Genomic DNA, 21427 nt, shown 5'->3' on the forward strand with positions numbered 1-21427 from the left:
AAAAAGAGGAATGTAGCAAATGGGTCGGGGTTGTAGAAAAAAAAATCCCGGACTTTACGTGTCATTCTGTTTTCATCCGAGAGCAGGGCAGTCCCGACATCAGGCACAGCAGCTGCACTTTTCCGAAGCCCCTTTGCGGATGCAGCCCTGGGCACACTTGGCACAGCCCAGGGGGCAACAGGAGCAGCAGCTCTTCTTGCAGGAGGTGCATTTGCACTTTTTGCACTTGCAGGAGCCGGCGCAGGCGTAGGAGCCTCCAGCGGCGCAGGAGCAGTTGGGGTCCATTGCAAGCCGAGGTGAGACCGGCGTTCCCAAGCGAGAAGAGAAGAGGCAGTGGAACACGTGGAGGGCGTCGTGGATTGATTCAAACTTTAAACAGGAAGGAGATTCTGACACCTGCTACAACATGGATGGACTTTGAAGACATTATGCTGAGTGAAATAGGCCAGTCACAAAAAGGCAAATACAGGCCAGGCATGGTGGCTCACACCTGTAATCCCAGCACTTTGGGAGGCCAAGGCAGGTGGGTCACTTGAGGTCAGGAGTTCGAGACCAGCCTGGCCAACACGGCGAAACCCTGTCTCTACTAAAAAATACAAAAATTAGCTGGGCGTGGTGGCACATACCTGTAGTCCCAGCTACTCGGGAGGCTGAGGCAGGAGAATCACTTGAACCAGGGAGGCAGAGGATGCAGTTAGCTGAGATTGCAACACTGCACTCCAGCCTGGGCAACAGAGCAAGATTCCATCTCAAAAAAAAAAAAAAAAAAAAAAAGGACAAATACAATTCCGCTTATGTGAGTTTCCTCGAGGAGTCAGATTCATGGAGACAAAAAACTGGATGGTGGGGGAAGAGGAGATTGGGGTGTTATTGTTGAATAGGTACAGCGTTTCAGTTTGTGAAGATGAAAAAGTCCTGAAGACATTGTTAATGATAAAACAACACTGTCAATATACTTAATGCCATGAAACTGTACTCTGGTTAAAATGATAAAATTTATGTCATGTATAATTTTACTATGATAATTAATAATCTTTTAAAAAGACCCATCCATAACCACCCATTTGGGCTCTATGGTTCCACTCATGCCTTTGGCTTTGCCTTGAGGTCCTATTTCTGGAGAAATCTTCAGGTATGAATCTTGGCCTGCCTCGAGGACTTAGCTGTGTTCCTTGACTCAGGTTTGAGTGGCACCTTCTCGTGTTCCATTTGTTCATCATCTTGAACCTAAAGCAAAGAATCCACTCTTAATTGTTGTCTTGGTTTAAGTCAGGGGCCAGCACGAGAGGGTTCTTTATTACGGTTTTCAGTTAACCATTCAGCCTTATGCAGGTCCCTTGGAGGAGAAGTTGAAGAGATTAATGGAAGCCGAAATGGCTGGGAACTATAGATTGTGATTATTGTACTACTAAGATGGTGTTGCAGCTAGGAAGGAAGTAAATAATTCAATACAATACATATGTATATACACACATCAACTTCTGAGTCCATATATAAATGAGTAGGTGACTTGGGCACTTGCTTATTTATGTATTATCCTAGAGCATATATGTTATGAAAGGAGGGATTTTTTGTTTTGCTCATTATTCCATTCCCACTGTGCCTGTTATGAATTAGGTGGCCAATCAACATTAGTTAAGTGGATGAATGAGTACATTTTACACACACACACACACACACACAGACACACACACGGAGATTGAGAGAGAGGGAGGGTCATTGCTGCTTCTGGCTTAGTGCCAAAAAGAGTTACATGTAAAGAAACTCAAATCTATTATAGCAGTTAGCTTGTGATAGGCTTTCTTTCCTGCCAAACCATAATTGTGTGCTGTTGTAAATGACATCTCCTCCCATGCTTTGGAAACTTGTCTTCATTTCGAAACTGGTTTATTGTCCAAGTTAATTCTCCTCCCGCGTTTTCTTTTCTTTTCTTTTTTTTTTTTTTTTTTTTTTTTTTTGAGATGGAGTTTCACTCTTATTGCCCAGGCTGGAGTGCAATAGCACGATCTTGGCTCACTGCAACCTCCGCCTCCCGGGTTCAAGTGATTCTCCTGCCTCAGCTTTCAGAGTAGCTGGGATTACAGGCACCCACCACCATGCCTGGCTAGTTTTTGTATTTTTAGTAGAGACAGGGTTTCACTATGTTGGTCAGGCTGGTCTTGAACTAGTGACCTTAGGCGATCCACCCGCCTCAGCCTCCCAAAGTGCTGGGATTACCGGTGTGAGCCAGTTTGCCTGGCCAACTCTCCCTTTCTATACTGTTTTGCATATTTTCATTTTATGAGCAGGTTGGAAGATGAATTTTAAGGGTGTTTGGAATACAGAAAGGATGAAACCTCTGAAATTTTCTTTGTACAATTTTTAATGCTGTAAAGTCTCATGGCAATTAAACAATTATTATTTAAGCAGGATATAAAAAGTTATGCAGAGCGTGGATCTATTTAAGACACATGTAATATAATAATTATTGGTGTTATTAATACCAGTTAGTACATAGCACCCAATATTTGTTAATCATTGTGTAATTAATTTTGTTAGTTTACTTTGGGTGATTCCTCTAAGGAATATATGTGACTACATATTATTATTCCTCATAACATTCTTGGGAGCTAAATATTGTAGTTCAGAGGTAACAACATCTCAGATGTTAACTGATTTGCCATACAAGAAAGGGACTAAACATTCAGGAACAATGGAAGATTATATGGTACATATATTTTCTATTTCAAATTGCTCTGAAAAATTTATGCCTAGTCCGTTTTATCAAGCAAATGTGCAGCATTTTTTTTTTCTATAAGTCTAGCTTTTCTTTCAACACAAGACTGAGCTGGAGTATTTTGCCTCGCAGACAGTGAGTCTCAGGGCACCTTTTTGGTGGGGACAGCCATACTCAGGTCTCCACTCCACGGAGACCTGAGACTTCTGAATACCAAGAGAAAAGAGAGAGATTGAAAGGAAGGGTTCAGTCCTTGAATTCCTGTTTAAACTCCATGATGCCAAAGGGGTTAGATACATTGCCAAAAGCTTAAGCAACTGAGCAAAAAATAAAGCTGAATTGGAAATGATACAGGGAGAGAAAAAGAGTTGGGTCAGCAGGTAGGAGTTAGTGGCTTCACCCCATCTCTTTAGCTTCCCTAAGGCCTCTTGGAGGATATCTTTTCCACTCCTTACTCCACGTCTGCATCACCTGCCTCTGTCCAGGCTCCGTGGCGGCATCAGCAAAGGCAAGGCAGCCAGGGAGGGCCGCTGAGAACTGAGGTTCCAAAATAGGGAAAGTAGAAGGGGAGGGCTTGGCTCTCAAACTACTTCAGTTCTTCCTCCTCCTCTCTCCCTCTCTCTCCTCCCTTTACTGGCTCATTTCATTTTCCCATGCTGCCATTCTTTATAAGTGCAACCACAAAGACTCTTTAATATAGCATTAAAAATCCAGTTACCGAAAATCAATTTGTCTATACAAAATAAGGATGCAAGATAAACAGGATGCTCGTTCTGTAACTGTCTGAGGACTCTCCACAGGAAAGGGAGAAATGCCGTGGGGAGACATTGACGTCCTGCATTCATCATGTGATTATCCTTGTCCCGCTCGTCAGCGGCGGAATGAGACAGAACAACTTGACCTCGCCCATCAGGACTGGAGAGGTCGTTGTTGGGATTAGAAACCCAGAAGGTAGAGAGATAATATTGCAAATAGGAAGTGCTTCACACACAGTAACTGCATCCATGGCCCAGAGAACAATTGTAGCACACAAGGAGCAGGGCTGTGGCTAAAGTGTTGGCATCTGGAGCTAATAGTTCTAAAAATGATATAAGGTAGAGGTAGAAAAACAACTATCTATGTCCGAAATGAAGGATGAAGAGCTGAAGTCACTATCGAAAGGGCAGAGGCCTACTAACCAGCATACAAAGTAAAACATTTTCTAATCCTATGTTGGATATACATTTAAAATGATTTAAAAACAAATTCTCACAGAATCTCACAACAATCCTCTAATGTAGGCAGGAAACTACTACCACCCTCAGGTGACAAGGAGATGGGCTAAGTGTCTTGCCTAGGTCACCTGGCGATCACGTCTATCTCTGGCGCCACAGTCTCTCACTCACCCTGCTTGGAAACCTGCCCGTTTCTGAATCATGTGAATTTTGTGTCCCCCATGCCTGGGCAGTACCTCCCACTTCTTTCAAGGCAACAGTTTTCTCCTCTCCATTCCCACCATGTCCTCAGCAGCCCAGGTCCCTGTGGCATCACTTTTGGTTACCTGTCCAGAGTCGCCCAGCTAAGGTTTATCTCTTCTCATTAGGCTCCTCCAATCCCAATGCTATAGAGCACAATTTTCATTCTTCCTGGTGACATTGTCATCCCCAGATGTCCTTGCAGTGCCCAGCACACGGTAGGTGTTGACTAAACGTTTGATAATGGAAGTCCTTCCACGTTAAGGCTCTGCTCCCCTGTCTGCCCCTCCAAGTTCTTCGTCTACCCCCGTTTTCTCTGGTCTCACTGAGCAAAGACAGACAGCCTTCCACCTTCACACCTAAACTTGCTCTTCATCTGGAAGGTAGTGTGCTCTTGAAACTACCTTTGCAAATTTATGACAATAAGAGAAATATGACATAGTTGACTCCGTCTTTCTTCTAACCTCCAAGCTGTCCTTGGTCATCCCTGGGTATAGGCCAAGTTAACTTTGGTAGAAATTCAGTTTATAGTTTAACCTTAAAGCAAGGATGATCATAGCCCTTCCCCCAGACTAAACTGACTTTGTAACACTAATGAAAGGCTGCAGGGTTAGGAAGATGAGAGGGCCTGAATTCTCAGATGTAGGCATAAATGATAAGCAGCCATTGTTTTGAAGGTCACAAGATTTAAAACTTTCCCAATTACTCCTGGAGATAACGTCACTATTGTAGAACCTAAAATTAGTCTTTTGAGGTGATTTTTGACTCCTGTATTCCTGATAACTGGCTGACTCCACCTAGACCTGCCCATTTTCCTGCATCCCTATGATTTCATCCCCAACCAATCAACATTCCCCACTCCACAGCCCCCTGCCCCCCATACTATCCTGGAAAAGTTACAACCTCCAGGCCTTTGGGGAGACTGATTTGAGTGATAACTCCAGCTGATCCAGTGTGAGCTGGCCTGGCGTCAATTAAACTCTTTCTCTTTTTGCAGTGCTGTGGTCTCAGAGGATCGATTTTGTCCATGAAGTGGCAGGAAGAATCTGTTGGGTGATTATGCTCTCCTCCTTCCTGTAAATGAAAAGTAAAATTCTAAGGCCCTCAACTGACTGAGTGGACCCTTCTCTAGGCCAAGGGGACCCAAAGAAACCTGAAAAACTAGGTCAGGCCATATGGGAAGTGGGGGTTGGACATGCCTCCTTATACTTTCCTCCCTTTAGTGTTCAGGCACAACTGACCAAACTTAACATTAAAACAGAGATCTTAACACTGACAACACAGACTCTTTGTAGCAATAAGATACCAAATTCCAACCTGACTCTAGTATAGCATCACATGACAAATAAAGAAGGAAATCAAAACATTTCACCCCAAAATATGTTTCTTTGTCATATTTTGAAATGACCCAGCAAAGCCATCTTTTGTGGGGGAAAATATCCAGCTGTAAAGAATGTCTATTAACATAACCAAGTCTTTCCCTTTCCAGGCCCTCCCAATCCTGAGGAAATTAACTGAGAGTCTAGCACCTTTTAAAAGTCTGAATAGGAAACATTTGCCATCTATTGTCTCGAAGGGTGGCCACCTACATGATTTCATCTACATAATAAGAACCTTGGTCTCCACAAACCCTTTTCTTGACCCAGATGCTCCTTTCTATTCATCCCAGGTCTTCAGATAATAACTTAGCTGTTTCGACAAATTTCCGATTGGTAAATCTTGAAATCCACATATGACCTAGAAGCGTCCACTTCAAGATGTCCTGCCTTTCTGGGATGAACCAATGTATACCTCACATGTATTGATTTATGTCTCTGTGTGTAACTTCTGTCCCCTTATAAGGTGTAAAACCAAGCTTAACCCAGTCACCTGGGGCATATGTTCCCAGGACCTCCTGAAACTGTGTCATGGGTCATAGTCCTTACAGTTGGCTCAGAATAAACCTCTTCAAATATTTCACAGAGTTTGGCTGTTTTGGTCAACATTTCCTATCCATAGCTTACCTAACAGTGCAGGGCCAGCCTAATGTCTGCCTTCCCCAACAGCTCCAGGTCCATGGATTTTTTTCCCCTTTTTCTTATACCTAGAAACTGTGTATCCACATAGAACTTCATTATAAACAGTCTTACCGGGCTCCTCTGTGCCACTGGTTTAATTTTGTAACACCAAATGATTGCTAAACCACTTGAGGGTGAGGGAGTTTGGGGAATGTTACTCTAAAATATAGCTCCCTGGTATGAGTGTTTTGAAGTAAAGGCCCTTAAAGACCCACAGACACTGGAAATGACTTTTCCCCTATGTACATAAAGAGGGACCTACCAAGAGGGAAAATGGTTTTTTCCTTCTCCTCTGTGTTAGTTCATTACCTGTTCAGAAAAGAAGAGCAAGAATCTAAACACACCTGAACACACCCACTTACAAGATAGTATCTGTCTCTTAGGCTCAGTCAGTTTCCAAAGACAACCATTGACAAGTTAATCTCTGCTCCCCATCCACTCATATCCACTCATTCTCCTTAGTAATCATTGATTGCCCCTCAACGGAATGATCTACATTCCCTATCCCTCCCTCCCCTCTGGAATAAGAGCATATAACATCTGGGCCTCCCTAGGATAGGGGGTCATCTCTCATTGAGATGGGGGTTCTCCCTCCCGTGCATGTGAATCAATTTTCATGGCTTTTCTCCAATTAATCTGCCGTTTGTCAGTTAAGTTTTCAGTGAAACTTCAGAGGGCAAAGGGGAAGTTTTCCCTTGGCCCCTGCAAGGGAAAGAAATGAGCCTTCTCTTCTCCCATACTCCTTACTTACTCAGAACTGTGCTCTAGCAAATGCTCAGCACTATTTTTGTTAAAAGACTTGTCCAGAGCTGGGGCCTAGGACCTAAGTCTCCAATTCTCATTCTCCATCATTCTAGAAGTTAGAATACTTATGTCCTAATTCTCTAATAGCTTCTATGTTTAGCCAGACAACACGACAGTTCTATTAGTCAAGGCAAGTCAGAATTACACCTTCTCACTGGGAACTAAATAAAACTAGTGTGGGATTAGTTGTTCTTGTAACCAATTTGACCACATTTGTGAAAAATGATTGTATTAAAAAATCGCATATTGGTGAAGATTTAGGTTTGTTTGCCTTTAAAAGATTGACAAACAGAAACGTTTTTCTCTGGTTCTGACTATGATTAAAACCATTTAAATGTTAGTATTGTCTGCTTTCTAGATATGATCTTCTGAAAGTTGAGGTAATCTGGGGTGGATTTATTTTATAGTCAGGTTTTCATTTTAGTGTATCTGGAATATTTCTGAATGCTGGTAGAGTCACACAGTTCTATATTTAGCTCTTTGGCATATAAATAGAATATGATCTTAAAAATAATTGTTATTGAGTGACTAACCTAACAGAGGGGTGAGACAACTTCTCATTCAGCCAAGTTGATTTTGCTAAGTTATAGAGACGATGGCCAAGGAGAAAAGGACGAACTCTTCCTTCCCACATTGTTGTGGGTCACCCTACTTTTCTTTTGGCCAACTTCCCACAACCAGGCCCTGGATCATTCTCCTGAAGCCCCAACCGAGCTCCTGTTTCCCACTTAACCCACACCTTGAGGTAGAGGAGGAATGCTTGTTCCTCCTCTACGAAGACTCAGAGCGAAGACTGAGAGGAGGGCTCCAGAGTCACCCCCAGGTCCCGGGGGAAACCAGCAGGTTTCCACTCACCACTTTTTCTCCCCAAATCAGAAAATCTTAGTAGTAGGAACTAAGTGGTTGAGCCAGATACCTCATCGAATAGGTCTCAGAGGATGGCTGAGCGTTTAGGTAGTTCCTGTCCTTGATGGCCATTGTACTTCCTCTGGTTCGGAGACTCTGGTGTCCCTCGGATGCTGCACTTTGCCGGGGGGACTGGGCCTCAGAAGTGAGCTTCCATAGCCTCTCGGTGCTCTCAATCACTATGGCCTCATGTCCCTGTCCCAAGCTATGCCCAGGGTGAGACTGAATCCATGAACGACAGCAACAGTGACGTTTACCATTTACTGAGTTTCTGTGAGAGGCCGGATATGACATTAGTGCTCATCACACATGTTCTCATTTAATTCTCACTGCAAACCCACAAGGTAGGAATCTCCCTTTCCGTTTTACAAATGAGAGGGATGAAAGGGTCAATAAATATAAGTAACCTGCAAGGATAGGGATATTTAGCTGGCGAGTGAAAGTTAGAGTTCGATCCAGGACCATGTGAAGCCAAGCTCATACTCTTCACTAATATTAGGACATGTTGACTTTCAACAAGATTTTGCATAATTTTCCCTTCCCAAACTACCTCCCTCTTTTTTCTCTCTCTCTCTCTCTCTTTTTTTTTAAGACTCAGAAGGTGAAATACCTAGGTTGCATAAGCACAATTTTATTTTATTTGTCTCATTTGCATTATGTCATTGGCTGGAGCAAAGTCTGTTTAACGCTTTTTTAAAAAAGTGTTTCCAAAGCCCCTGGATCAGTGCTGTGTACGTAGTTGGTCCATAATAGACAGGGACTGACTAATTAGGGGTAGGACCATGTTTCATAAGCATAGGGAGAGGAGAGAGCATATGACCTAGCTCAGACTTTGTCCCGGAATCCGGTGCACTGGCAAAACCAAGTCCTTGACAGCACTTTAGTCGCTATGGACTTGGCAGCGCATGTGCCTGTCGTCTACAAATAGTAGTTCAATCAACAACTGCCCTTTCTATGCTGACGGGATATCTAGCCCTATGTAAACATTTCTTTTTTAGCACTAGATCTTAATTCCTGCAGCCCTTGGTTTATCACCAGTTTCTTGAGAAAATAATCTGTCCATGTTCTCCAGTCATGGGACGATGACTCAGGCTGGGGATTCAGGCCGTTTTCTGTGCAGTAGCTGGTCTTGCGGCCCCGTCCTGTTTGGACCCGAGCCAGCACACCGCAGCGAGGTGCTCCTTCCACCTCCCAGTGACCCGTGCCAGCCCTTCTGCTCCTTCCCCCCTGCTGCTCTTGCCTTTGTGGTTGCCAGAGTAACCATAAAAATATTACTCCACATGCTGTAGGAACAAAATGTCAGTGCACTTTACTATTGTTTTAATTTAAAAACTAACGTGTGAAAATAACTCCAGCCTGGGAGAAATGCTCTCTCTGCCAGATGATTCCTTTTGGAAGGAGAGGTACAAAATCATTGTGAAGAACTCAGGGGTAGGAATGATACCTAGGTTTAGGATAAGAGCCTAAACTCCTATGTCCTATGGTAAATGTCCCCTAAATGTTTGTCTGGTGAATGAATGAATGAATGAATGTGACACAAACTTTGCTGAAAAATTTAGGAATATATAAATGGTATATATAAATTTTAAAGTAAAACTCTTAATTCCTATTATAAATTATAATAGAAATGCTATTATAAACTTTAGGATGGTGAGTGAAGCAGGTTGAATAGTGTGCCCCCCAATTTCATGTTCTTCCAGAACCTCAGAATGTGACCTTATTTGGATATCAGAGTCTTTGCAGACGTAATAAGTTAAGGATCTCACAGTGAAATCATTCTGGACTTCGGATGGGCCCTAATCCAATGAATGATGTCCTTATAAGAAGAGGAGACTGCCAGGCATGGAGGCTTATGGCTGTACCAGCGCTTTGAGAGGCCGAGGTGGGAGGATTGCTCGAGGCCATGAGTTCAAGAACATCCTGGGCAACACCCCCAGGACACCCCCACCTCCATATCTACAAAAAACTTTTAAAAATTAGCAGGACATGGTGGCACACAGCTGTAATCCCAGCTATTTGGGAGGCTAAGGCAGGAGGATTGTTTGAACTCAGGAGTTCAAGGCTGCAGTGAGCTATGATTGCACCACTGCACTCCAGCCTGGGTGACAGAGTAAGACCCTGTCTCAACCATAACAAAAATAAGTTTCCTAAAATATAGTGAGTTTATTTGTTCAAATCTTTTGCCTTAAAAAAAAAGTTGTCTTATTATTATTATCCTAGAAGAATTCCTTATATTCTCAATACAAATCTTTTATCAGGTATGGGTGTTGTAAATATCTTTTCCTAATCTTTGGCTTGCCTTTTTAATTTCTTAACAAGAAAAGTTTTAAATTTCGATCAAGTCCAATTTATCAACTTTTTTTCTTTTACAGTTTGTACTTTTTGTCCTCTCTGAGATATCTTAGATACAAACCAAGGTCACAAACATTTCTTCTGAAGTTTTCTTCTAGAAGTTTTATTGCTTTAGCTTTTACATTTAGGTTTATGATCATTTTGAGTGAATTTTTGCAGATGAATATGAAATGAGGTATGACAAAGTTATTTTTCACATATGTGTCCATTTGTTACAGCACTGATTGTTGAAGAGATGATTCTCTCCCTCATTGAATTACCTGTCACCTTCATCAGAAGTCAATTGAGCTGGGTGCAGTCGTGCACATCTGTAGTCCCAGCTCCTTGGAAGTTGCAGTGGGAGGACTGCTTGAGTCCAAGAGTTCGAGGTCAGCCTGGGCAACATTGTGAGACTTCGTCTCTTAAATTTTTTTTTTTTTTGAGATGGAGTTTTGTTCTTGTTGCCCAGGCTGGAGTGCAATTGTGTGGTCTCGGCTCACTGCAACCTGTGCCTCCCGGGTTCAAGTGATTCTTCTGCTTAGCCTCCCAAGTAGCTGGGATTACAGGTGCCTGCCACCACGCCCAGCTATTTTTTTTTTTTTTTTTTTTTGTATTTTTAGTAGAAATGGGGTTTTACTATGTTGGCCAGGCTGGTCTCGAACTCCTGACCTCAGGTGATCCAACCACCTTGGCCTCCCAAAGTGCTGGGATTACAGGCATGAGGCATCATGCTCAGCCAATTACAAATCAATTGATCACATATATGTGGGTCTATGTCTGTAGTTTCTATTCTGTTCTACTGGTTTATCTTTGCTACATTAATAGCACACCATCTTGATTACTGTAGTGGTAAAGTGAGTTTGGAAATAGGTAATGTAAGTCCTCTAAATATTTTCCTTTTCTTATTTTTTTCTTTCTTTTTTTTTGGACAGGATCTCACTCTGTTGCCCAAGCTGGAGTGCAGTGGCATGATCACGGCTCACTAGAGCGTCAACTTCCCGGGCTCCAGCAATCTTCCCACCTCCTGAGTAGGTGGGACTGCAGGCATGCGCCCAACTAATTTTTTGATTTTTTTATAAGGATGATGTGTCACTATGTTGCCCAGGCTTATTTTATTTTGTAAAAAAAGTTGTTGGCCGGGCGCGGTGGCTCACGCCTGTAATCCCAGCACTTTGGGAGGCCGAGGCGGGCGGATCACGAGGTCAGGAGATCGAGACCATCCCGGCTAAAACGGTGAAACCCCGTCTCTACTAAAAATACAAAAAATTAGCCGGGCGTAGTGGCGGGCGCCTGTAGTCCCAGCTACTCGGGAGGCTGAGGCAGGAGAATGGCGTGAACCCGGGAGGCGGAGCTTGCAGTGAGCCGAGATCCCGCCACTGCACTCCAGCCTGGGCGACAGAGCGAGACTCCGTCTCAAAAAAAAAAAAAAAAAAAAGTTGTTTTGGGCTGGGTGTGGTTGCTTATGCCTGTAATCTCAGCACTTCGGGAGACCAAGGTGGGAGGATCACCCAAGGTGCGGAGTTCGAGACCAGTCTGGCCAACATGGCAAAACCCTGTCTCTAAAAATATAAAAATTAGCTGGGCATGGTGGCATGCACCTGTAATCCCAGCTACTTGGGAGGCTGAGACAAGAAAATTGCTTTAACCCAGGAGGCGGAGGTTGCAGTGAACCAAGATCATGCCACTGCACTCCAGCCTGGGCGACAGAGCAAGACTCAGTTAAAAAAAAAAAAAAAGTGTTTTGGCTGTTTTAGGTGCCTTGTGTTTCTATATAAATTTTAGAATTGGTTTGTAAAATTCTAAAATGTTTGCTAAAATCAGGATTGCCTTGAATCTATACAACATACTAGGGAGAACTGACAACAATATTGACTCTTCTGATCTAGGAATACAGTATATCTTTCCATTTTGGGGGATCTTCTTTAACTTTTCTCCAGAATGGTATGTAGCTTTCAATGTACAGGTCTTGCATTTTAAAATTAAATCTATTTTCAAATATTTTAATTTTTGGTAATATTAGGTATTTCATTTTTAAAATTTCATTTTCCCATTGTTTCCTGTGCCTGTATCCCTGATTTTTGTACATTAACCTGAAATATTGTGTCCTTGCCAAACCCACTTTTTACTTCCAGTAGCTTTTTTGTGGATCTCTGGATTTTTTACATAGACAATCAATGCTATCTGTGAAGAAAAACACTATCACTTCTTTCTTTCCAACACGATGCCTTTTATTTCTTTTTCTTGTCTTTTTGTACTAGCCAGGACTTAGAGTACAATGTTGTAGATGAAGGAAACCAAAATATTTCACCCCAAAATATTCTGTTTTAACATATTTCAGGATGGGTATTCAGCATGGCTGAAAAACTGTCTTTTGTGGGGGAGATTTGCATCTGCAGAGAAAGTCTGCATTGATGCCGCTAGGCTTTCTCTGAAGCCCTCCTTTGTCTGATCTAGCAAAGACTGAGAGACTGACTCTGTTGAAGGTCTAAAAGAAACATTTACCATCTATTCTCTCTGAGGGCTGCTACCTGTGTGATTTCATCTACATAACAAGATGACCTTTGCTAGCCAGACCTCCTCTTCTCTCCCTCCCAAACCTGTCTTGCCACCATAATCTGATTTAACACTACAAACTGTTTTTGGCCATGCTCTGAGCCAAAACATACTTTGGCCATTCTTTCTGTAAACTCAAGATGGTATATAAGCTTTTGCACCCCACTGGCGGGGGTTGCAGTAATCACCCTGTGTTTCTCCCCCATGCACTTTAATAAATTTGTATGCCATTTCTCCTGGTAATCTTCCTTTTGTCGATTGATTTTTCAGCAAATCTTCCAAGGGGGGAAAGGTAAGTTTTCCCTTCACCTCTAAACATACAAGTGTTGAAAACAGATATCCTTGCCCTGTTTCCTAATCTTAGGGGGAAGGCAATCTTCCCCAAAAAGGATGATGTTAACTCAAGGTTTCTCACAGGTGGCCTTTATCAGGTTGAGGAAACTTCCTTCAATTTTTAGCTTGTGTGAGTTTTTACTAGGAATGGACTTCGGATTTTGTTGCATTTTTTTTCTGAGACTATTGAGATGATCACATGGTTTTTATTTTTCGGTGTGCTAATATGGCAAAATACATGGATGGATTTTAAAATATGAAGTCAACCTTACATTCCTGGAATAAATCCTACTTGGTCATGATGTGTTTTTCTATTATTGGTTGCTGGTTGGATTTCTAATATTTTGTTAGAAATGTCATGACGAATGTGTGGCTATGAGGGTTGTTAGTCTCTAGTTTTCTGGTCTCATAATGTCTTTATCAGGTTTGGTATGAGAAAACAAGGAGGGAAGTGTTTCTTTTTTTTGCTATTTTCTGAAAGAGCTTTCCTACAATTGGAATTAAATTTTCCTTAAGTGTTTGATATAATTTGCTAGTGAAATCATTTAATCCTGGAGGTATTTTTTGGGGAAAAGACTGATGACAATGAACTGAATTACTTCAATAGATATAGAGCTATTTGCATTTTGCTATTTCATTTCTGTTTCTTTTGATAAATTGTGTCTTTTGAGAAGTTTAACAATTTAATCTAGTTTGCAAAATTTATTGACAAAAATATTCATAGTATTACCTTATCTTTTCTTCCTTCCTTCTTCCTTTTCTCTCTTTCTCTCTTTCTTTCTCTTTCTTTCTTTCTTTTTCTTTCTTTCTTTCCTTCTTTCTTTCCTTCCTTCCTTCCTTCTTTCTTTCTTCTTTCAACAGAATCTCTCTCTGTCACCCAGGCTAGAGTGCAATGGCACAATCTTGGCTTACTGCAACCTCTGCCTCCTGGGTTCAGGTGATTCTCCTGCCTCAGCTTCCTGAGCAGCTGGGATTACAGGCACCTGCCACCATGCCCAGCTAATTTTTGTATTTTTAATAGAGACGGGGTTTCACCATGTTGGCCAGGCTGGTCTGAGACTCCTGACCTCAGGTAATCTGCCCCCCTCAGCCTCCCAAAGTGCTGGGGTTACAGGCATGAGCCACTATGCCTGGCCTACCTTATCTTTTGAATGACTGTAGAATCAGTAGTGATTTCCCCTTTTTAAATCCTTATATTGGTAATTTGTGTTGTCTCTCTCTCTCTCTCATTTGTCAGTTTGGCTAGAGTTTTATCAGTTTTATTAATCGTTTTGTTTTGTTTCATAGATTTTCTTTCTTTCTTTTTCTATTTCTATTAATTTTTGTTCTTAACTTTATTACTTTCTTCCCTCTGCTTGTGGTGGGTTTAATTTCCACTTCTTTCTTTGGTTTCTTGAAGCGGAAGCTTAGATCATTGATTTGAAATCCTTCTTTTCTAGTATGTTTAGTGCTACACATTTCCTTCCCCGCACTATTTGTCCTCTACCTGCACATTTTGATATGTGGCACTCTCATTTTAATTCAGTTTAAAATATATTCTAATTTTCCTGTTGTTTTCTTGTTTAATCTATGGGTTATCTAGAAATATGTTGTATAATTTTGAAGATTTTAGGGATTTTCTGGATATCTTTCTGTTATTTATTTCATTATAGTCACAGAACATACTTTGTTTGATTTTAGTACTCTTAAATTTATTGATACATGTTTTATAGCCCAAGATATGGCTCATATTGGTGAATGTTCTGTATAGATTTGGAAAAAAATTGTGTTCTGCTATTGCTGAGTAGTGTTCTACAAATGCCAATTAGATCAAGTTGGTTGACAGCAGTGTTTTATCAGTTATAGCAGTCTAACTGATTTTCTGTCTACTTGTCCTGTCAACTCAATCAGAGAGAAGTGTTGAAATCAACTAAAACTGTGAATTTGTCTATTTTTCTTGTCAGTTCCAGTTTTGCTCTGAAGCTTTGTTACATACAAATTTAGGATTATGTTCTCTTGATATTGATGCTTTTACCATTATGAAATAATCATCTTTATTGAAACATATTTTATCTAATATTAGAATGGCCACTCCAGTTTTCTTTTTATTAGAGTTTCCTGGCATATCTTTTTTCATCATTTTACTTTTAAACTATTTGTGTCTTTTTAGTTAAAATGAATTTTTTATAGATAGCATATGTCTTGCTTTTTTTTTTATTTTTTATTTTTTATTTTTTATTTTTAATGTTTTTTTTTTATTATACTCTAAGTTTTAGGGTACATGTGCACATTGTGCAGGTTAGTTACATATGTATACATGTGCCATGCTGGTGCGCTGCACCCACTAACGTTTCATCTAGCATTAGGTATATCTCCCAATGCTATCCCTCCCCCCTCCCCCGACCCCACCACAGTCCCCAGAGTGTGATATTCCCCTTCCTGTGTCCATGTGATCTCATTGTTCAATTCCCACCTATGAGTGAGAATATGCGGTGTTTGGTTTTTTGTTCTTGCGATAGTTTACTGAGAATGATGGTTTCCAATTTCATCCATGTCCCTACAAAGGACATGAACTCATCATTTTTTATGGCTGCATAGTATTCCATGGTGTATATGTGCCACATTTTCTTAATCCAGTCTATCATTGTTGGACATTTGGGTTGGTTCCAAATCTTTGCTATTGTGAATAGTGCCGCAATAAACATACGTGTGCATGTGTCTTTATAGCAGCATGATTTATAGTCCTTTGGGTATATACCCAGTAATGGGATGGCTGGGTCAAATGGTATTTCTAGTTCTAGATCCCTGAGGAATCGCCACACTGACTTCCACAATGGTTGAACTAGTTTACAGTCCCACCAACAGTGTAAAAGTGTTCCTATTTCTCCACATCCTCTCCAGCACCTGTTGTTTCCTGACTTTTTAATGATTGCCATTCTAACTGGTGTGAGATGATATCTCATAGTGGTTTTGATTTGCATTTCTCTGATGGCCAGTGATGATGAGCATTTCTTCATGTGTTTTTTGGCTGCATAAATGTCTTCTTTTGAGAAGTGTCTGTTCATGTCCTTCGCCCACTTTTTGATGGGGTTGTTTGTTTTTTTCTTGTAAATTTGTTTGAGTTCATTGTAGATTCTGGATATTAGCCCTTTGTCAGATGAGTAGGTTGCGAAAATTTTCTCCCATGTTGTAGGTTGCCTGTTTACTCTGATGGTAGTTTCTTTTGCTGTGCAGAAGCTCTTTAGTTTAATTAGATCCCATTTGTCAATTTTGGCTTTTGTTGCCATTGCTTTTGGTGTTTTGGACATGAAGTCCTTGCCCACGCCTATGTCCTGAATGGTAATGCCTAGGTTTTCTTCTAGGGTTTTTATGGATTTAGGTCTAACATTTAAATCTTTAATCCATCTTGAATTGATTTTTGTATAAGGTGTAAGGAAGGGATCCAGTTTCAGCTTTCTACATATGGCTAGCCAGTTTTCCCAGCACCATTTATTAAATAGGGAATCCTTTCCCCATTGCTTGTTTTTCTCAGGTTTGTCAAAGATCAGATAGTTGTAGATATGCGGCATTATTTCTGAGGGCTCTGTTCTGTTCCATTGATCTATATCTCTGTTTTGGTACCAGTACCATGCTGTTTTGGTTACTGTAGCCTTGTAGTATAGTTTGAAGTCAGGTAGTGTGATGCCTCCAGCTTTGTTCTTTTGGCTTAGGATTGACTTGGCGATGCAGGCTCTTTTTTGGTTCCATATGAACTTTAAAGTAGTTTTTTCCAATTCTGTGAAGAAAGTCATTGGTAGCTTGATGGGGATGGCATTGAATCTGTAAATTACCTTGGGCAGTATGGCCATTTTCACAATATTGATTCTTCCTACCCATGAGCATGGAATGTTCTTCCATTTGTTTGTGTCCTCTTTTATTTCCTTGAGCAGTGGTTTGTAGTTCTCCTTGAAGAGGTCCTTCACATCCCTTGTAAGTTGGATTCCTAGGTATTTTATTCTCTTTGAAGCAATTGTGAATGGGAGTTCACTCATGATTTGGCTCTCTGTTTGTCTGTTGTTGGTGTATAAGAATGCTTGTGATTTTTGTACATTGATTTTGTATCCTGAGACTTTGCTGAAGTTGCTTATCAGCTTAAGGAGATTTTGGGCTGAGACGATGGGGTTTTCTAGATAAACAATCATGTCGTCTGCAAACAGGGACAATTTGACTTCCTCTTTTCCTAATTGAATACCCTTTATTTCCTTCTCCTGCCTGATTGCCCTGGCCAGAACTTCCAACACTATGTTGAATAGGAGCGGTGAGAGAGGGCATCCCTGTCTTGTGCCAGTTTTCAAAGGGAATGCTTCCAGTTTTTGCCCATTCAGTATGATATTGGCTGTGGGTTTGTCATAGATAGCTCTTACTATTTTGAAATACGTCCCATCAATACCTAATTTATTGAGAGTTTTTAGTATGAAGGGTTGTTGAATTTTGTCAAAGGCTTTTTCTGCATCTATTGAGATAATCATGTGGTTTTTGTCTTTGGCTCTGTTTATATGCTGGATTACATTTATTGATTTGCGTATATTGAACCAGCCTTGCATCCCAGGGATGAAGCCCACTTGATCATGGTGGATAAGCTTTTTGATGTGCTGCTGGATTCGGTTTGCCAGTATTTTATTGAGGATTTTTGCATCAATGTTCATCAAGGATATTGGTCTAAAATTCTCTTTTTTGGTTGTGTCTCTGCCCGGCTTTGGTATCAGAATGATGCTGGCCTCATAAAATGAGTTAGGGAGGATTCCCTCTTTTTCTATTGATTGGAATAGTTTCAGAAGGAATGGTACCAGTTCCTCCTTGTACCTCTGGTAGAATTCGGCTGTGAATCCATCTGGTCCTGGACTCTTTTTGGTTGGTAAACTATTGATTATTGCCACAATTTCAGAGTCTGTTATTGGTCTATTCAGAGATTCAACTTCTTCCTGGTTTAGTCTTGGGAGAGTGTATGTGTCGAGGAATGTATCCATTTCTTCTAGATTTTCTAGTTTATTTGCGTAGAGGTGTTTGTAGTATTCTCTGATGGTAGTTTGTATTTCTGTGGGATCGGTGGTGATATCCCCTTTATCATTTTTTATTGTGTCTATTTGATTCTTCTCTCTTTTTTTCTTTATTAGTCTTGCTAGCGGTCTATCAATTTTGTTGATCCTTTCAAAAAACCAGCTCCTGGATTCATTGATTTTTTGAAGGGTTTTTTGTGTCTCTATTTCCTTCAGTTCTGCTCTGATTTTAGTTATTTCTTGCCTTCTGCTAGCTTTTGAATGTGTTTGCTCTTGCTTTTCTAGTTCTTTTAATTGTGATGTTAGGGTGTCAATTTTGGATCTTTCCTGCTTTCTCTTGTAGGCATTTAGTGCTATAAATTTCCCTCTACACACTGCTTTGAATGCGTCCCAGAGATTCTGGTATGTTGTGTCTTTGTTCTCGTTGGTTTCAAAGAACATCTTTATTTCTGCCTTCATTTCGTTATGTACCCAGTAGTCATTCAGGAGCAGGTTGTTCAGTTTCCATGTAGTTGAGCGGCTTTGAGTGAGATTCTTAATCCTGAGTTCTAGTTTGATTGCACTGTGGTCTGAGAGATAGTTTGTTATAATTTCTGTTCTTTTACATTTGCTGAGGAGAGCTTTACTTCCAACTATGTGGTCAATTTTGGAATAGGTGTGGTGTGGTGCTGAAAAAAATGTATATTCTGTTGATTTGGGGTGGAGAGTTCTGTAGATGTCTATTAGGTCTGCTTGGTGCAGAGCTGAGTTCAATTCCTGGGTATCCTTGTTGACTTTCTGTCTCGTTGATCTGTCTAATGTTGACAGTGGGGTGTTAAAGTCTCCCATTATTAATGTGTGGGAGTCTAAGTCTCTTTGTAGGTCACTGAGGACTTGCTTTATGAATCTGGGTGCTCCTGTATTGGGTGCATAAATATTTAGGATAGTTAGCTCCTCTTGTTGAATTGATCCCTTTACCATTATGTAATGGCCTTCTTTGTCTCTTTTGATCTTTGTTGGTTTAAAGTCTGTTTTATCAGAGACTAGGATTGCAACCCCTGCCTTTTTTTGTTTTCCATTGGCTTGGTAGATCTTCCTCCATCCTTTTATTTTGAGCCTATGTGTGTCTCTGCACGTGAGATGGGTTTCCTGAATACAGCACACTGATGGGTCTTGACTCTTTATCCAACTTGCCAGTCTGTGTCTTTTAATTGCAGAATTTAGTCCATTTATATTTAAAGTTAATATTGTTATGTGTGAATTTGATCCTGTCATTTATGATGTTAGCTGGTGATTTTGCTCATTAGTTGATGCAGTTTCTTCCTAGTCTCGATGGTCTTTACATTTTGGCATGATTTTGCAGCGGCTGGTACCGGTTGTTCCTTTCCATGTTTAGCGCTTCCTTCAGGAGCTCTTTTAGGGCAGGCCTGGTGGTGACAAAATCTCTCAACATTTGCTTGTCTATAAAGTATTTTATTTCTCCTTCACTTATGAAGCTTAGTTTGGCTGGATATGAAATTCTGGGTTGAAAATTCTTTTCTTTAAGAATGTTGAATATTGGCCCCCACTCCCTTCTGGCTTGTAGGGTTTCTGCCGAGAGATCCGCTGTTAGTCTGATGGGCTTTCCTTTGAGGGTAACCCGACCTTTCTCTCTGGCTGCCCTTAACATTTTTTCCTTCATTTCAACTTTGGTGAATCTGACAATTATGTGTCTTGGAGTTGCTCTTCTCGAGGAGTATCTTTGTGGCGTTCTCTGTATTTCCTGAATCTGAACGTTGGCCTGCCTTGCTAGATTGGGGAAGTTCTCCTGGATAATATCCTGCAGAGTGTTTTCCAACTTGGTTCCATTCTCCACATCACTTTCAGGTACACCAATCAGACGTAGATTTGGTCTTTTCACATAGTCCCATATTTCTTGGAGGCTTTGCTCATTTCTTTTTATTCTTTTTTCTCTAAACTTCCCTTCTCGCTTCATTTCATTCATTTCATCTTCCATTGCTGATACCCTTTCTTCCAGTTGATCGCATCGGCTCCTGAGGCTTCTGCATTCTTCACGTAGTTCTCGAGCCTTGGTTTTCAGCTCCATCAGCTCCTTTAAGCACTTCTCTGTATTGGTTATTCTAGTTATACATTCTTCTAAATTTTTTTCAAAGTTTTCAACTTCTTTGCCTTTGGTTTGAATGTCCTCCCGTAGCTCAGAGTAATTTGATCGTCTGAAGCCTTCTTCTCTCAGCTCGTCAAAATCATTCTCCATCCAGCTTTGTTCTGTTGCTGGTGAGGAACTGCGTTCCTTTGGAGGAGGAGAGGCGCTCTGCGTTTTAGAGTTTCCAGTTTTTCTGTTCTGTTTTTTCCCCATCTTTGTGGTTTTATCTACTTTTGGTCTTTGATGATGGTGATGTACAGATGGGTTTTCGGTGTAGATGTCCTTTCTGGTTGTTAGTTTTCCTTCTAACAGACAGGACCCTCAGCTGCAGGTCTGTTGGAATACCCTGCCGTGTGAGGTGTCAGTGTGCCCCTGCTGGGGGGTGCCTCCCAGTTAGGCTGCTCAGGGGTCAGGGGTCAGGGACCCACTTGAGGAGGCAGTCTGCCCGTTCTCAGATCTCCAGCTGCGTGCTGGGAGAACCACTGCTCTCTTCAAAGCTGTCAGACAGGGACACTTAAGTCTGCAGAGGTTACTGCTGTCTTTTTGTTTGTCTGTGCCCTGCCCCCAGAGGTGGAGCCTACAGAGGCAGGCAGGCCTCCTTGAGCTGTGGTGGGCTCCACCCAGTTCGAGCTTCCCGGCTGCTTTGTTTAGCTAAGCAAGCCTGGGCAATGGCGGGCGCCCCTCCCCCAGCCTCGTTGCCGCCTTGCAGTTTGATCTCAGACTGCTGTGCTAGCAATCAGCGAGATTCCGTGGGCGTAGGACCCTCTGAGCCAGGTGTGGGATATAGTCTCGTGGTGCGCCGTTTCTTAAGCCGGTCTGAAAAGCGCAATATTCAGGTGGGAGTGACCCAATTTTCCAGGTGCGTCTGTCACCCCTTTCTTTGACTCGGAAAGGGAACTCCCTGACCCCTTGCACTTCCCAGGTGAGGCAATGCCTCGCCCTGCTTCGGCTCGCGCACGGTGCGCACACACACTGGCCTGCGCCCACTGTCTGGCACTCCCTAGTGAGATGAACCCGGTACCTCAGATGGAAATGCAGAAATCACCCGTCTTCTGCGTCGCTCACGCTGGGAGCTGTAGACCGGAGCTGTTCCTATTCGGCCATCTTGGCTCCTCCGCTTTTTTTTATATCTAGTC

The 21427-nt window shown here is 41.6% G+C and overlaps 1 protein-coding gene across 1 annotated transcript, besides 3 other annotated features; it reads right to left on the reverse strand.

Annotated features, from left to right (window-relative positions):
* Positions 1-15: 15 nt before the first annotated feature.
* On the reverse strand, positions 16-354 carry MT1HL1 (metallothionein 1H like 1). Its single transcript, NM_001276687.2, has one exon. The coding sequence runs from the start codon at positions 283-285 to the stop codon at positions 100-102; it is 186 nt and encodes a 61-aa protein (NP_001263616.1). The 5' UTR covers positions 286-354; the 3' UTR covers positions 16-99.
* Positions 5693-6688: an enhancer, noted in NCBI's record as "NANOG-H3K27ac hESC enhancer chr1:237173080-237174075 (GRCh37/hg19 assembly coordinates)". NCBI's record gives its function as "activates a minimal SCP1, AML or CMV promoter by ChIP-STARR-seq in naive and primed H9 embryonic stem cells {active_cell/tissue: H9 hESC(naive and primed)}" and the evidence as "EXISTENCE:reporter gene assay evidence [ECO:0000049][PMID:30033119]".
* Positions 7131-9458: an enhancer, noted in NCBI's record as "VISTA enhancer hs2138". NCBI's record gives its function as "enhancer in: somite[3/7]" and the evidence as "EXISTENCE:transgenic organism evidence [ECO:0001131][PMID:17130149]".
* Positions 12437-12966: an enhancer, noted in NCBI's record as "OCT4-NANOG-H3K27ac hESC enhancer chr1:237179824-237180353 (GRCh37/hg19 assembly coordinates)". NCBI's record gives its function as "activates a minimal SCP1, AML or CMV promoter by ChIP-STARR-seq in naive H9 embryonic stem cells {active_cell/tissue: H9 hESC(naive)}" and the evidence as "EXISTENCE:reporter gene assay evidence [ECO:0000049][PMID:30033119]".

The sequence above is a fragment of the Homo sapiens genome, chromosome 1, assembly GCF_000001405.40.
Source record: "Homo sapiens chromosome 1, GRCh38.p14 Primary Assembly".
Taxonomy (NCBI): domain Eukaryota; kingdom Metazoa; phylum Chordata; class Mammalia; order Primates; family Hominidae; genus Homo; species Homo sapiens.

Coding starts and splice junctions, on each gene's coding strand:
- MT1HL1 (NM_001276687.2), bottom strand. CDS start 285: ATGGACCCCAACTGCTCCTGCGCCGCTGGAGGCTCCTACGCCTGCGCC.